The sequence below is a fragment of the Homo sapiens genome, chromosome 7, assembly GCF_000001405.40.
Source record: "Homo sapiens chromosome 7, GRCh38.p14 Primary Assembly".
Lineage (NCBI taxonomy): Eukaryota > Metazoa > Chordata > Mammalia > Primates > Hominidae > Homo > Homo sapiens.
In genome coordinates, this window is record NC_000007.14 from 54,748,609 (window position 1) to 54,766,040 (window position 17,432).

Below are 17,432 nucleotides of genomic sequence, written 5' to 3' on the forward strand. Positions count from 1 at the left end.
CTGGTCAGTGAAGATGAGACTGGGTAATCCTATAAGAAGCTGACAATATTAATAATAATACACACAAAAGTTACAAATGTTAGGTGAAAATATTCATACAGTAAAATTACTATCATTGAGAATTCCTTCATCCCAAAATACCATAATGTAAATGAAAACACCTGCCAAAACAAAAGAAGACAGGCACAATGTACTAATAGGAGAATGTAGAGCAGGAGTCTCTTACTGGAGGGGTAGAAATTAGCATGACTTCAGAAAATGATGGGCATTACCAAGGCTGAACATGGACATAATTTGACACTGCAGTTTTACTTAGGTATGAGACCAAATGAAATGCTTGCACAGCTATACCAGAAGACATGTATACCCACATTCTTAGCAAGAAAACTTGGAAGAAAAATTGTTGAAAGCAAAAAACTGAAAACAACCCAAACGTCCATCAATAATAAAACAAATGAAAAAGTTACAGAATAATTTCATAACAGTAAGTTATATACCAGTGCAAATAAATGGACCACAGTTACTGCAGCTATGTTATCTGCATGCATGAACCTCAAAAATACTCTTTTTAGAGAGAAGGCAAGTCACAAACGAATACAAACAGCGTGATTCCAATTACATGATGTTAAAAACAAGTGAACAAAAACGTGTTGTTCACGTACCCATACACGTGGTACACAACCTGAAGAAAAACGAGATGACTTTGCTTGCAAAGAAGAGAAACTGGGGAACTGCCACAGGAAGGGCATTAGTATGTTTTGCTACAGGTACTTAACAAACAGAAAATGTTTAAGAAATTCCTTCAGGTGATTCATGCATGGTGAAGTTTAATACTGTTTCACAGTATATAGCTCTCATATATGCTAGGAGTAGGGTGAATAAGAAAAATATACTTATTCTTTCCTACTTAAGAAATGCAACTGTTGCTTGTGAAGGTTACTCTGCTCTATCACCAGAATTCTTGGTCAGCCCTCATTTCATTTGCATGTATACATACAAAATATGTATGTAATACCTTATCCGCTCATGTGTCAAGAACCAAGTAAGTCATCAAAATAATCAGCCTAAATGTATGCTATAATAGGAATTTACAATTATGTCAAAAAATATTAATGTTCAGAATCATCTTAACCAACAACATAACACACATTTGCCAGCACCAAGTCTACATTTCAGAATTTCTACCGTGTTTAAAATATACACGTATATAGGTGCATGTATGTAAATGTCTATCTATATATACATATATGTAAACATACACAAGTATACACGCACTTGCATATATATGCACATACAATTTTGGCCTTTAAGCAGCTAATAGCTATAAATGTGACTATATGGTCTCCTTAGGCTTAGAGATGACCAAATTTTCACCGTACTTTTTTTTTTTTTGAGATGGAGTCTTGCTCTGTGGTCCGGGCTAGAGTGCAGTGGCACGATCTTGGCTCACTGCAACCTCTGCCTCCCAGGTTCAAGCGATTCGCCTGCCTCAGCCTCCTGACTAGCTGGGATTATAGGCGCCCGCCACTGTATCTGGCTAATTTTTGTATTTTTAGTAGAGATGCGGTTTCACCATCTTGGCCAGGCTGGTCTCGAACTCCTGACGCCATGATCCACCCACCTCTGCCTCCCAAAGGGTGGGGATTAGAGGTGTGAGCCACCGCACCCGGCCTTTCACTGTATTTTTATCTTTGAAGACATCAATTCATTCAAGATTGAAACACTGTCAACATTTCATTAAGTAGGCAAAAAAATTTGTTACTGTTACTACAAAAACAGACCAGAATCTCTGAACCGTGGATTCCAAAACTGAGGAATACTGCCCAGCCACACTAATTAGACACTTCCCTACCCTACTGAGGATGAAAGAACATGTAAACATGTGTTTTGCTAACAAATTTTTTAAAAATATTAGAAGTAGGGAAATAAAGCAATAACTAAACACTGAATGAACAAATTGAAGCAATGCAATTGCTTTTTTAAAAAAGGGGGAATAAACTCAAATTTAAATTACTGCTTGTATTTTATTTTTAGAGACAAGATCTCACTCTGTCACCCAGGCTGAGTGCAGTGGTGCAATCATGGCTCACTGCAGCCTCAAACTCCTGGGCACAAGAGATCCTCCCACCTCAGCCTCCTAAACAGCTGGATCTACAGGTGCATGCCACCACACCAGGCTATTAAAAATTTTTTGTAGCGTTGAGGTCTTGCTATGTTGCCCAAGCTGGCCTTGAACTCCTGGGTCTCAAGCAATTCTCCTGTGTAGGCCTCCCAAAGTGCTACGGTTACAGATGTGAGCCATTGCACCTGGCTTCACTTTTTTTTTAAAGGGGAAAGAGGATAAGTCCCCTTTTCATTTCAGACTCTTATCAGTGAATTCTTAATAAAATTCAGAACTCCAGTGTTCAAGATAGAGTGACTGATTTAGTACATCTATAAGAGGACCTCTCACTTTTAAGTTTTAACCATAACTCTAGGAAACTATTTCAAGTAGCTTCTAAACTATAATAATTTTGACTATTTAAAATTCCTGAGGTCGGGAGTTTGAGACTAGCCTGACAAACATGGAAAAACCCCGTCTCTACTAAAAATACCAAATTAGCAGGACGTGGTGGCACATGCTTGTAATCTCAGCTACTTGGGAGGCTGAGGCAGGAGAATTGCTTGAACCCGGGAGGCAGAGGTTGCAGTGAGCTGAGATCGTGGCATTGCACTCGAGCCTGGGCAACAAGAATGAAACTCCATCTCAAAAGAAAAAAAAAAAAAAATTAAGTGCTTACAGAAAAACTCCTACCCTGCCCTCAAATTCTAATAGGGAATCACCACCTTTTACTTGCTGTTTTGTCTTGGACCATAGATAAACATTTATCTGATAGCAGATGCTATAACTTGAATTTTTATGTCCCTCAAAAATTCATGTTGAAATTCAATCTCCAGACAAGCACAGTGGCTTAGCCGGGTAATCACAGTGCTTTGGGAGCCGAGGTGGGAGGACTGCTTGAGGCCAGGAGTTCAAGACCAGCCTGGGCAACACAGCGATACCCTATCTCTACAAAAAATTAGACAGACATGGTGGCATGTGCCTGTAGTCCCAGCTACTCAGGAGGCTGAAGCAGGAGGATGGCTTGAGCTCAGGAGTTTGAGGTCGCAGTGAGCTATAACCTGGGCGACAGAGCAAGACACACATACATACATATATATAAAGAAATTTAATCTCCAATGTAATAGTATTAAGAGGTAGGGCCTTTAAGAGGTGAGGAGGTCACAAGGGCTCTTCTCTCATGAATGGGATGAAGGCCCTTTGCCTGTCTATCCCTTTTGCCATGTGAGGACACAACATTTAAGCCACCAGCTTGTAAGCAGAGGCCAGGCCCTCACCGGACACCAAACCTGCTGGTACCTTGATCTTGGACTTCCCAGTCTCCAGAACTGTGAGAATAAATTTCTATTATTTATAAATTACCCAGTCTCAGGTATTTTGTAATACTAGCACAAAGGGGCTAAAACAGAAGAGCTCTCAGAAAGTGTAATATTTCACCAAACCCTTTCATTTCTCTTATAAACCAAATTATTCAGAGAAAGAAACTACTATTTTTTATCGTTGAAATGTGATAAGTATCTATGACAGAAAAAAGAGATATTCATTTACTTTGAAATTACTTTAATTTAGAAATAGAAAACATCTTGAAAGGAAAAAAAAAAACCCACAAAACATACAGGCAAATTTGTATTCTGTGAGTTTCTCACACCCTCACACTTGTTCACCAATCTCTAAGATGAAAAACTCTCTTCCAAAATGTATTCAGCCACCACTGTAAAAGAAAGAAAAATTATTACTTCTGAGCATAGATAAGATTTTAATAATTATTATTATTTGAAATGCAATATGCTATAACTTTAACGGCTCAAGACCAATTATGTGAATCCCACCTAACTTCATCTAAAGATGGCATAAAAGAATGGCACAATGAACTTTAAAATCCTGGACCTGAAAAGATGATGTGGCTACTGGAAGAGGTCTATGTGTAAACTCACAATGCTCATTCAGGAAATGCCATTTTGGAATAGTCTAGCATAACGCCTTTCTGAACACAACAAAAAATATCAACTACATGACAGGATGGTTAGTTGAGAAGCTTTTCAAGTTGATAAAGTTGACACACCAGTAGAACACACCAGCAGAAAACAGACTGCAGATGAGCACAAGGTACTCAAGCACTGCATCTTACCATAATCATTCCAAAATCTGGGTTAGTCATGATGAAAACAAAAATCACCTTTTCTACAGAAGAACTTCTGAGTTTTAAAAGCATAAACATTAAAACTGCATAGTCAGATATACATTTTAGTAATGTTAAAGCAAAATAATTCCATTACCAGAAGAAAATTATATAAAATAGGCCAGGCATGGTGGCTCTCACCTGTAATCTCAGCACTCTGGGAGGCTGAGGGAGGCAGATCACCTGAGGTCAGGAGTTCGAGACCACCCTGGCCAACATGGTGAAACCCCGTCTCTACTAAAAATACAAAAAAAATTAGCCAGGCATGGTGGGGTGCAACTGTAGTCCCAGCTACTCAGGAGGCTGAGGCAGGAGAATCACTTGAACCTGGGAGGCGGAGGCTGCAATAAGCTAAGATTGCACCACTGCACTCCAGCCTGGGAAACAGAGCAAGACTCCATCTCAAAAAAAAGAGAAAATTATTATATAAAATACCCCTGAGCATATACTTTAATGTTTAGCATTTTAAATGCTTATGCTATTAAATAGTATTGCTATAACTAAAAGGCCAGCAAGTGCCTATTTTAAATTCTAATACTGTGAATATTAATTTTGATTGCTATACTTAGAAAAAAAAGAAGAAAAAAATCTTAAGAAAAAACTGATAATTCAACCCAATGAGTTATTTCCCTTGCTACCATCTCAAAATGATTTAAACAATGATTATCCTCTTTCAAGCAGGGAAAGCAAGATTCCTTTCAGTTTTACAGCTGTCCTGGCATAACATGAGAAAAGAGTAAGTTTTCTGTAGTGTCTCTCACAAAATGTTTTAATTGGCCTTCATGTTAAGGTAAAAAATATCTAAAGATAGATTTTTTAACTTCTTAAACATTGAAACCATTTTTTTTAACTAGAAGAAAAGTTTTCTAAGTAACTAGCTTCTGAAAGATTTCCCGTGTTGCTCTATCACTAGCCATGCAATCTGAGTAGATTACTTAGCCTCCCCATGCCTGTTTCCTCATGAAGATTAAATGAGTTGACACACAGTCATGGAAAGTTCTCAATGAATGTTAACTATTATTATTGCCACCATCACCATTAAAAAGACAAGAACCTGAAGTTGTTCACTTAATTCAACAAACACTTATTCAGTGCTTTTAACGGATACAAGGGGGCTCTGGACCAGACTCTATAGGAGAGACATACAATATAAATAACAAGGCAGGCCTGCCTCACAACTCATAATCTAATATGAAAAGACGGACCTGAGTATGACCCAAGGCAGACAATGATGTCTGGCAAAAGGGACAAAAATATAGGTTAAGTGAAGGCCGGGGAAAAAATTTGAAAGGTGCTTGTATACCAAAAAATTGGAAAAGGTGGGCTTACGTGTTCTTCTGAAAGGTACAACTAAGAACAATGAAGGGTGATTATCACAGGAAACTAATTTTGTTATCATTTTAAAGAAACACTTCCTATCAATAAATCTGTCTCATGACAGAATGGGAAGCAGAAAGAGCAGAGGCACCGAGTATGAAAAAGAAGGGACTTGACAGAGACTCTGCCACTTCTTTTTACTGATTTCCTCATTCTACTTCAGTATTCTCCCCGTGATTCCACAGTTCTACAGTTGGCATTTCTCACTGGTAAAATACAAGGGATTTCTGAACTGACAAATGAGATATCAGTGACTTGGGCCCATCTAGTTCTAACTATTTATGATCCTGAATATCACTTTGTGGCACTTCTGCCTTAATAACTATGGTAACCTACTTCAGAAATCCCTCTGACAATATACATTGTTACTTGTCATTTAAAAGGCAACCTGTACCAGTACCTGGGATAAAATACCTAGTATTTAGGAGATTTATAGTTTAGAAATTTTTTAAATCATTGCTTCAAACTTCACCACCCCATAAAATCAATTGATATTACTGATTGATTTCAATACCATATGGAAGTTCTCAATGAATGTTAATTATTATTGCCACCATCACCATCAGAAAAGGCAAAGAACCTGAAGTTGTTCACTTAATTCAACTAACACTTATTCAGTGCTTTTAATGGATACAAGCACTGATACACCTGATATTATTATCAGGTAATAATAGATTTTATTACCTCCAAACAGTGGATGAGGCTGAGATTAAATGCATACAAAATCACAAAGTAAGTACTGAAACTCATACTAAGTCCTTACCCTAAACTGAATTACCTAATTGCTCTAATTGCTCAATGCCACAAGGTGTCCCAATGACTTGTAATGAATTTAAAAAGCAAAATTATTTGGAAACAAATAAAGTGATCCCAGTGTTTCTCAGCCTTTTTTGCCTCCTAACATACTTAAAAGTTATGATATTCTCCTATCAGTATCAATGGCTCATTATAGTAACAACTTTCACTTGTATTCTTACCCAAATTGTTTCTGGGGCCTTACATGACTTAAAGTCATAATCCAAGTAAGAACTATTATCCCCACTGAATAAACTGGGCACAGAGAGGTTAGGCAAATTGCCTGAAGCTAGGACAGCTACTGCATAACAAGAAAAAGGTTTTGGATCTAGGCAATCTGGTCCAGAGTTAGAATTCTATCACAGCAGTGATTTTTGGATGGGAAGCATTTGCTCTGCACATTAGAAATTAACAAGGTAACAGCACAAAGAGGACTTAGGTTTCAATGCTGGCTTTGTGACATATGAGTGTCTTTAATACTTTCTTGACTCTGTAAAATTTTATTTATTAAAGAAAATAGTGCCTAGCACACAGAATTTCTGGACAGATCATGTAAGATCTAAAAGCCCTCAATTATCAGGTACTCGTAAATATCAGTAGACTCCAACAGCACTAAAAAGTCAAGAGATGCATCTCTATATTAACGAAATAACAGCCTGTCATCTCAAATGGTTTTGAGTTTCATTCAATCCTAGTCTATTTCATAAAGTTTACTTACACAATGATGTTATTAATAGGAATATGGATCAATTTCACAAAGAAGCCAATGAATCCCATTATAGCAAATCCTATTGCTGTTGCCATGGCAATCTTCTGGAATTCTGCATTTAAAAACAGGAAATTCACATATTTTTTGCACTGTCACTGAAAGTATGGGAAAAAAACTATCAGCAACATAAATGAACTTAACTAGTATACATTTCTCCTGTTAATAGATATATAATTTAAAAATAAAAAGGTGAGACTATTAACAGTAAACAAGTTGTTTGACAGGTTTTAAAATTTCCATGTTTTGTTGATATTTAAGGAAACAAATAATAATGCATATCTGTCCTAGTGAGTTCATCAGCAAGTACTAAAAATATTTTTTCTTCTTAGCAAATGACCAGAAAATACCAAAAACAAAAAAAGGTCATGGATGAAAGAAATATACATTATTTTTCTTAAGTTTTAAAATGTAACATTGTAATTTTTATCATAACATATCAATTATATGGGCAGAAACATACCTTTTTTGGGTACATTATAAACGATGGGTCCGGTGCCTTTGCTATTATGATGAAGCCAAAAATAAGACTTGAAAAATCAAACTGGGCTGGGCCCAGTGGCTTGTGCCTGTAATCTCAGCACTTTGGGAGGCCGAAGTGGGCAGATCACCCGAGGTCAGGAGTTTAAGACCAGCCTGGCCAACATGGTGAAACCCTGGCTCCACTAAAAATACAAAAATTAGCCGGGCGTGGTGGCGCATGCCTGTAATCCCAGCTACTCAGGAGGCTGAGGCAGAATTGCTTGAACCCAGGAGGCGGAGGTTGCAGTGAGCCGAGATCGCGTCACTGCACTTCAGCCTGGGCAACAGAGTGAGACTCTGTCTGAGTTGAGCACAATTTTATAAAACATTACACTGGTAATGTTGTCATTTTATGTTACTTCCTAAGAGAAGCTTTCCCTGATCTCCTGACTTGGTTAGTCCTCCTATTATGTGCTGTCAAACTTCCTTCTAGTTATCTTCCATAATACTTAACACAGCAGTAATTAAAAAATATAACCGCAATAATTTGTTTATGACAGTCTTCCTTGGTAAGAGTCTAAGCTCCATGACAGCAAGGACTATTCTCTTTACTATAATATATACATGTTATATACTATATTATATACTATATACTATACTATATATATACTATATACTATATATACTATATACTATATACTATATTATATACTATATACTATATTATATACATGTTATATTCTCTATTATATTACCAGCTCCTAACTCAATGAATGAATAAAAGTAGACAAATTTAACACATGAATCATGATAAATAACAAAATTAACTTTCTAGTTTGGCAAAAACTATATTGTTGGTTTCATGTTAAGGTTTTGTTCGTTGGGGTGGGAGCTGAGTAGGGAGACTTCAAAGCTTTTCCAAAGAGAAAATATGTAAGATACTAAAAGTCATAAAATGTTACTAACTAAAATGTTACATGGAACATAAGGCTGTAATAAATAATCTTACACCATTTGAAAATACATAAAAATTTAGACGAGTAAAAAATTTAGGAAGAAGTGACAACGTTAAAAAGCTGTCGCGCAGGATCAATCAATAAAAATGTTGATCAAAGTAATGCAAGGGCTATTAATCAAGATGTTAATCAAACAAAAGGCTTAGAAAATGCAAAGATTTAATTTTTTCTCTCATAGTCAAGCAATTACCTTTTCTATCAGGTTTAGTGCATCTTTTAACCAGCCGAATGGAGTCCTTTACAAACTGCCGACTTGGCTCAACAAACTGCATTACCTGATCCATGACTGCCTGTTTAAAACAAAAAAGATACTCACTGGTATTGGTTCTCATACAATAAGCACTTGCTCATTTATATAAAGATGTAAATGAGACCAGCCACTGAATTCACGTCTAACATGGGTCAATTCCACCTCCTAAAATAAAACAAAAAACAAACTCCAAAGCCTAAATTGATATTATTTTTGGAAATTTCAGTTAATTATCAAAGGCAATAAGAAAAGCACAGATCTTACTCATGATATCTTCACTGACAAAGAACAGCACACGCAATATAAAAAGCCTATCTCTATTAAAAGGTTAAAAAAGGTTACGCAATTGGTAACACATCCATTCCTTTTCTCACTCTGCAGTCCCATCCATTTCTCATTCTACAGTCCCCTCACCGCTCCTAAGGAACCATCAGTGTTGAGATCCAACAATTACTTTCCATATTTTATTTTAAACTACGCAGAAGCCAGTGTCTTGTACAGTGAATGCCAACTACGGTGCTGCAAGAGCCTAGAATAGAGGCAAACGTGAATTTCAACCTTGATTTTTCTAAAACGTGCCAATACAACATACTTTTCTAAAGTATAAAGAATGGCTAAAGGAAGACGCAAATTCTGAGAAGCTACTAGCTAAATTTCAAACTTTTCGATTTGAACACATCTTTTAAGGAAACAGGGCTATATATTTTACCATACAGGTTCTTTTGAGGAATCTATTACCCAATAGAAATGTTATCCGATCTTAGCTTTGAGAGCCACTGCTATAGTAAGTAAAGCAGCCAGGGTGTTATTTGTATTTTCCTCCATTTCCAGTACTCAGAACAGTGGCCAGGTGGTAGTTCAAATCACTGGCTATGGAATGTAAACCTCTGTAAGCCCCAGTTGCCTTCCTTAGTGTAGGGTGTGGACAACGAAATGAAATAATGTCAATGAAACACCAGGAATTCTGCAACGTTCTGGGGGCAAAAACACAGTAATGTCTGTTTTCTCAGTATTTCACTCAACTTTGCTCTTGAAATCCAAAGGGCTTAAACTTTTTGTAATCATAGTTGTCACGAAGGAAGCTAAGAATTCTTTATCCAGAAAAACGCACGCTACACACAATACCGCACTCAATGTCAGGGGTAGAGATCCAAAAACCAACTATGATCTCTCGAACTAGACTCTAGACCAATGCTCTCACTTTAAACCACGGAAGCGGCGGCAGGACCAGAGCTGAGTACAGCTCTTCCCAGACAGGACTCCACAACAGCACACAGAGCCAACCCCGAAGGGATCGGGCAGCAGGACATCATCTTTGGCTGCAGCACAGAAGACGCCGGGGCAGGACGCTAAGCCCTGGAGCCCCGCGGGCCGGCCACCCAGCTCGCCGGGAGTCCGCGGCCCTGGGTCTGCCTTCCGCCAGAGGCCGAGTTGGTGGGATGTCGGCGGCCAGACCCCGGCCCTGAGCCAGGGGACCACTTACCGCCCGCCCCGCGACGGCCGCCCGGGGAGACACGCCGGCTCGCCCACGCCCGCTGCCCCCAAGAGTCGCAAAGGTGTGGCCGCCCCGTTCGCCCGTACCGACCGGTGGGAAGAAACTCACCTACCCAACCGACACCTAAAATGCCAGGGACACGTAGCACTGGAGCTTGCTGATGGAGGCCCACCGGAACCGGAATCCGGGTTTCTGCCAACAGCCCGCCCACTCCTCCGTCCTATTGGTTCCTTACGCGAAACCTCAGTGCGCAAGCGCAGCGCGACGTGCGCCCGGCCACGCTTCCTGGAAGAGATGCATTGCGGAGCTCGCTAGTTGGGGCGTTGGCCTTCCTTAGGAGTGTGAGTCTAGCGTTATCCCTTTTTTCCGGCTGGATCCCGGGTTACCCCACCAGCCCGACCTCAACCCACTCACGTCCACAGCACGAGCCCCAGCGGCCTTGCGCGGTGCTTGCTCTCTAGTAGCGGCTGACTAGGTAAATCCTAAGTTGTGGTTTTTTTTCCTGCGGTCCAGCTTGATGTGTGTCCTTACGGTACATACTTTTTGTATGTATATAATGTTGGTCGAAATGAAGCTTATGAGCAATATAATGTTATGGCCTAATTCAAAATAGTATCCCCACCCCAAACTTTGACTTTGGCTGTCATTCACGGTAATGAATGCCGCTGTAATTGAGGCCTTTGTCAAACGCTAGGTTTGGTTACGGGAGTGGTCATAATGTACACACAGCTCCCCACTTACCCACAAGGATGCATTCCAGGAACCCCCCGCCGGATGGCTGAAACCGTCAGTAGAGACGGGGTTTCACCATATTGGCCAGGCTGGTCTTGAACTCCTGACCTCGCGATCCACCCGCCTCGGCCTCCCAAAGTGCTGGGATTACAGACGTGAGCCACCGCGCCCGGCCATGTTTCCTTTTAGCAATGGAGCATAACGGGATCTGAGGAACAATATAACTCAGGAAGAGCTGATGGAACATTAAGACGTGTTACAACTCTCAGTGCTTCTTAAACTTCTTCAGTAACTGAAATCTCCTGTTAAGTTTTTTAGTAAATGAAATTTGTAACCCCAGAACCTCCAGATATTGATTCAGTGGGTCAGGGTTAGAGGTCACACACCTCCGTATATCTGACTGTAGGTGGTCCATACACACTACACATACCTTGCCTTAGCTTTAAGAGTCACTTTTAAATTCTGAACAGACTGAGATGCGTTTGACTAGTTCTTCATCCCTGGGACTTCAGCCCATGTGTCATCTCCTTAGAGGCCTATAGTGACCATCTAAGGCAATCCTGTCTATCTCATGCTCTTTTTTCCTTTTTCACAATACCTTCTTCATTTGCTGCATAGCATTTGTATTAACATTTATTTATTTATTCCTCGGTCTGTCTCCCTACACTGTAAATCCCCTTACTAGACCATAAGCTCCAAGTGGGTATAATATAGCATCTAGTAAAGTGCTAAACACAGTAAATGCTCAATAAATAATTTTCAAAAAAATAATTCATTCCAAAAAAACATAAAATCACATGTTGGCAAGTTCACCCCAACCACCAAATGTCTGAGTTGACAGTATTTTCAGCAAAACACAGAAAATCAAGTAACACATACAGTGGTTCCCCTTATCCAAGAAAATCTGGTTCAAAAAGAGATGTGTACCAGAAGGTAATCTGGGAGAGGCCACATTCAAATAACTTTCATTACAGTGTATTGTTATAATTGTCTACTCACCTGATTTCGGGAGTTTGAGACCAGCCAGACCAACGTGGAGAAACCCCGTCTCCACTAAAAATACAAAAATTAGTCTGGAATGGTGTCGCATGCCTGTAACCCTAGCTACTCAGGAGGCTGAGGCAAGAGAATCCCTTGAACCCGGGAGGTGGAGGTTGCAGTGAGCTGAGGTCACACGACTGCACTCCAGCCTGGGCAACAGAGCAAGACTCCGTCTGTAAAAAAAAAAAAAAAAAAAAACAGGCTGATAACAGCAAATCTGTGCAAAAATACGTAACAATCAGAACTCTAGAACTCTAATTCCTGGTTACTAGGAGTGTAAAATGGCATAACCCTTTTGGGAAAAGTTTAGTAGTTTATCATAATATGAAGCATATATACACCACCTATGGCTCCACAATTCCAATTCCAGGTACTTATTGAAGATATATGAAACTAAATTCACAGAAAGACTTGTACAGGAATGTTCGTAGTAACTTTATTGATAACAGAACTAAAAGCAACAGGGTACCATCAATAGAATGAATAAACATACAGGTATAGTCCCACAACAGAATAGTACTCCATAGCTAAGGAAAGAAAACTCTCTGCCACAACATTGATGAATGACAAACATGGTGAGTGAAACAAGCCTACGCTAAAGAAGGCACAGTGTGCAGTTCCATTTGCAAGAAATTTTAGACAAAGCAAAAATAATGAATGGTGGAAAAAATCAGAACAGTGTTTGCCCGGGGCTACATATTGAGAAGGCGGGTGAGGGAACTGGGGAGTGAATGTAATGCTCTGTAATTTAACAGGTCTTAGGGTTTCACAGGGGTCTTAGTCAACGTGGGCAGCTATAACAGAGTATCATAGAGTGGTGGCTTACACAACAAACATTTATTTCTCACAGTTCTGGAGACTGGAAGTCAGAGATAATGGTCAGGTTCTTGTGAAGGCTTTTACTGGTTTATAGATAGCTACTTTCTCATTGCATTCTCACATTGCGGGAGATGGAGGAAGAGAGAAAGAAAGGACCAGCTCTCCTCCTGGTCGTAAGAACACTAATCCCAACATGGGGCTTCAGCCTCCTGACCTAATTACCTCCCAGAAGCCCCTCATCCAAATGCCATCACATTTGGGCTTCCACATATGAATTTGGAGGCGCACAAACATTCCATCCATAGCAGCAGGTCTGTGCCTTTTTCCTCAAAAAAAAAAAAAAAAAAAAAAAACCTCAACAAGTATTGAGCTCTAGTTAATTATACAATTGTCGATGCATTTAGGAGGGAAATGTACAGGTATCTACAACTTATTTTGATTTTAAAAAGGGCAGGTTCATGGTTAGAGGAATAAACTGGTGATAATGCAAATACAACAAAATGTTAAATGTAGACTTAGTTGTGGTGTAAGATGTTCATTGAATAATTCTTTCAATTTTTCTGTATGTTTAAAAATGTTTATAAGATGGAAAAAAGTCAATATATAGATCACCAAATCAAGTTTTAAAAATTTTGACATAAATTGTACTGAGTGTAAATTGAATGTATATATAGCAGAAATTTTAAATTGCCCCTCAATTTAAAAATACATGAAATATTAATAATATCGTTTGAGATAAGCTGAATTAATATTCCATTTATATTCTTGAATCTCTGCCTGAAGCAAGAAAAAGTTTAAGAAGATCTATGGAGAACCAAGGACTCCATAGCAGCTTTTTGTTTTGTATTACTTCATTTAGGTATGATGACAAAGTGGAAAGAGCTGTATCTTTTTAAAAATGAAGCTGACACAGTGGTTGAAATTATGAAAGTGTCAACAGTTCCCCAGGAAAAATCAAAGACTGGACCTAGATTCAAACATAAAGAGTCTTTTAGACAGGAATATTTTAAGAGTTAAATGTGATGAGATCAAATAAAGTTTTCTCCCCTCCTCAAACCCTTTTTGAAAAAACAAGGTTTTAAGTACTATAAAAAAAGTTACTCCATCTTATTTAGTTAAAAATGCAGTAACCAGAAGAGGGTGGTGAAGTTGACTCGAAAGATTTAGAGATCACAGAATTAGTTGCCAGTGACTCTATATTATCAATTACAGTAAACAGTTTCAATTGACTACTTCCTCCTGAAACTCACTGTTCCCTTTACTTCATGATCATTTTCTTAAAACAAAAACAAAACCCTTTCTGAATCTGCCTAATGGACTTCTTTTCCTGCATTGGCCTGTATTAGAGAAGTCTAACTGCTCCGACACACATAGCCACCCTCTGGGCTGGCCACGTGCTGATTTCTGCCCAGGCCAGTCTCCGCAGATCTGATGCAGGGCTGTGTTCTTTCCACATAGTAAGTCTCCGCGGATCTGGCACAGGGTCGTGTTCTTTCCACACAGTCGTGCAGGGTTTCAGGCTCTCCAGGGTGCAGTGCTGCTACTGCATGTTAAGGTTCTTAGTATATTTCAGGAGAAAACAACCCAATTAAAAAATAAGCAAAAAGGCCGGGGGCGGTGGCTCACGCCTGTAATCCCAGCACTTTGGGAGGCTGAGGCAGGGCAGATCACAAGGTCAGGAGATGGAGACCATCCTGGCTAACACGGTGAAACCCCGTCTCTACTAAAAATACAAAAAATTAGCCGGGCATGGTGGCAGGTGCCTGTAGTCCCTGCTACTCGGGAGGCTGAGGCAGGAGAATGGTGTGAACCCGGGAGGCGGAGCTTGCAGTGAGCCGAGATCGTTTGCCACTGCACTCCAGCCTGGGCAACAGAGCGAGACTCCGTCTCAAAAAAAAAGAAATAAAAAATAAATAAGCAAAAGATCTGAACAGACATTGCATAAAAGAAGATACACAGATGGCAAATAATCATATGAAAAGGTACTCACCATTACCTGTCACCAGGAGATTGCAAACTAAAACAACAATGAGATACTACTGCAAACCTATTTGAATGTCTAAAGTGCAAAATACTACATCAAGTGCTGGTAAGGATGTGGAGCAACAGGAAGTCTCCGTTGCTGGTAGGAATGCCAGTGGTACAGCCACTGTGGAAGGCACATTGGCAGTTTCTTATAAAGCTAAACGTAGTCCATACTATCCAACAATTGCACTCCTCGGTATTTAAATAACAGGAAGATTTATGCTCGCACAAAAACTTAACACACACGTTTATAGCGGCTTTATTCACAATTGTCAAGACTTGGAGGCAACCAAGATGTCATTCAGCAGATGAATGAATAAACAAACTGTGATAAACCCAAACAATGGAATATGCTAAAAGGAAGTGAGCTCTCAAGCCGTGAAAAGACAAGCAGGAACCTCAGATTCATACTGCTATGTAAAAGAACCAGTTGAAAAAATACACACTGTATGATTCCAACTAGGACATTCTGGAAAAGGCAAAACTATAGAGACAGTAAAAAGATCGGTGACTGCCAGGTCTTGATGGGGCTGAGGGAGGGTGAGAGAGAGGGAAGAATAGGTGGAGTCCACGGAATTTTTGGTGCAGGTGAAACCAGTCTGCGTGATGTTACAGTGGTGGATGCATGCCATTATGCATTTGTCAAAGCCTGAAGAACTATACAGAGTGAACCCTAGTGTAAACCATGGACTGTAGTTAATAATAGTGTATCAATATTGGTTCATCAGTTGTAACAAATGTTCGCTAGTACTATATTAATAATAGGGAAAACTGTGCAGGGAGGATGTGTAAAAGGTTGTGGTACCTCTTTACTTTCTACTCAATGTTTCTGAAAAGCTAAAACTACCCTTAAAATAAAGTCTATTAGTAAAAATTAGAAATAAAATAAAAGATCCTAGGAGAGGGAGAGAAACTAGAGTCATCTCACTGCTTCCTTTATGCTCTGGCTGAAGCACCATCAGGCTCCTGCACTCTTTCCCTCCACTACCAATCTTTTCTTTTTTTTTTTCTTTTTTTTGAGCCTTGTTGCCCAGGCTGGAGTGCAATGGCACAATCTCGGCTCACCGCAACCTCTGCCTCCCGGTTTCAACCGATTCTTCTGCCTCAGCCTCCCAAGTAGCTGGGATTACAGGCATGCGCCACCACGCCCGGCTAATTTTTGTATTTTTAGTAGAGACGGGGTTTCTTCATGTTGGTCAGGCTAGTCTCAAACTCCCGAACTCAGGTGATCCACCCGCCTTGGCCTCCCAAAGTGCCGGGATTACAGGCGTGGGCCACCGCAGCCGCCCCCAGTCAATCCTTTTGTCAAGATGCTGAGAAGCCCAGTGCCTTTCCCAAGACAAAGCCATTGACAGAGTCCAGTTTGACCACAAACCTTGTTATAACACGTTGACTTATTTAAACAAGGTAAGGGGTTCTGGCTTCTTCACTACATCCCCTGGAGCTGTATGATGAATTATGACTTATGACGGCATGAAGTCACTTTTTTACATTATTTGAGATATGGAGGATGTTACGGACTGAACTGTGCCACCCCCAAAATTCACATGTTGATGGCCTAACTCTTAAGACCTCAGAATTTGACTGTATTTGGAGATAAGGTATTTTCTGTTTTTGTTTGTTTGTTTGTTTGTTTTTGAGACAGGGTCTCACCCTGTCACGCACGCTGGAGTGCAGTAGTGCTAACACAGATCACTGCAGCCTCAACCTCCCGGGCTCAAGCGATCCTCCCACCTCAGCATCCCCAGTAGCTGGAACCACATGCATGTGCCACCACGTCCAGCTAATGTTTTTTCTTTTTTTTTTTTTTTTTTGTAGAGACAGGGTTTGGCCACTGGAGATAAGGTCTTTAAAGAGGTTATTAAATTAAAATGAGAGGCTGGGCATGGTGGCTCACACCTGTAATCAGCACTTTGGGAGGCTAAGGCAGTTGGATCACCTGAGGTCAGGAGTTCAAGACCAGCCTGGCCAACATGGGGAAACCACATCTATGCTAAAAATACAAAAGTAAGATGAGCATGGGGTTTCACTGCCTGTAATCCCAGGTACTCGGGAGGCTGAGGCAGGAGAATTGCTTGAACCCAGGAGGTGGAGGTTGCAGTGAGCTGAGATAAGGCCACTGCACTCCAGCCTAGGCAACAGAGAGAGACTCCATCTCAAAAAAAAAAAAAAAAGCTAAACTGAGGCCAGAGGTGTAGGCTATAATCCAATATGACAGGTGTTCTTATGGACACAGATGTACAGAAAGAAGGTGATGTGAAGACACCAGGAGAAGATGCACAAATTAAAAAAAGAGGCTTCAGAAGAAACCAACCTTGCTGGCATCTTGATCTCAGATCTCCCGCCTCCAGAACTGTGAGAGGATAAATCGCTG

At 40.0% G+C, this 17,432-nt stretch overlaps 1 protein-coding gene and 1 long non-coding RNA gene across 3 annotated transcripts in view, besides 2 other annotated features; one reads left to right on the plus strand and one right to left on the minus strand.

Moving 5' to 3' along the window:
* Positions 1-3,644: 3,644 nt before the first annotated feature.
* On the minus strand, positions 3,645-10,603 carry SEC61G (SEC61 translocon subunit gamma). Of its 2 annotated transcripts, none has more exons than NM_001012456.2 (4): positions 10,554-10,603; positions 8,887-8,986; positions 7,171-7,273; positions 3,645-3,812 (listed from the first exon to the last, which is right to left on the minus strand). In NM_001012456.2, the coding sequence occupies exons 2-4, from the start codon at positions 8,978-8,980 to the stop codon at positions 3,803-3,805; spliced, it is 207 nt and encodes a 68-aa protein (NP_001012474.1). In that variant the 5' UTR covers positions 8,981-8,986; positions 10,554-10,603; the 3' UTR covers positions 3,645-3,802. The 2 variants fall into 2 exon arrangements, with proteins under 2 accessions (NP_001012474.1, NP_055117.1); NM_014302.4 differs by having other exon boundaries at positions 10,550-10,603.
* Positions 10,253-10,572: a silencer, noted in NCBI's record as "silent region_18184". NCBI's record gives its function as "represses an Ori minimal core promoter by ATAC-STARR-seq in GM12878 lymphoblastoid cells {active_cell/tissue: GM12878}" and the evidence as "EXISTENCE:reporter gene assay evidence [ECO:0000049][PMID:35858748]".
* SEC61G-DT (SEC61G divergent transcript) overlaps positions 10,705-17,432 on the plus strand; it is a 45,657-nt gene continuing 38,929 nt past the window's right edge. Inside the window, exon 1 of the long non-coding RNA NR_110040.1 lies at positions 10,705-10,916. This is a non-coding gene — a long non-coding RNA (SEC61G divergent transcript). The remainder of the gene's footprint in view (positions 10,917-17,432) is intronic.
* Positions 10,806-11,741: an enhancer, noted in NCBI's record as "H3K27ac hESC enhancer chr7:54827107-54828042 (GRCh37/hg19 assembly coordinates)". NCBI's record gives its function as "activates a minimal SCP1, AML or CMV promoter by ChIP-STARR-seq in naive H9 embryonic stem cells {active_cell/tissue: H9 hESC(naive)}" and the evidence as "EXISTENCE:reporter gene assay evidence [ECO:0000049][PMID:30033119]".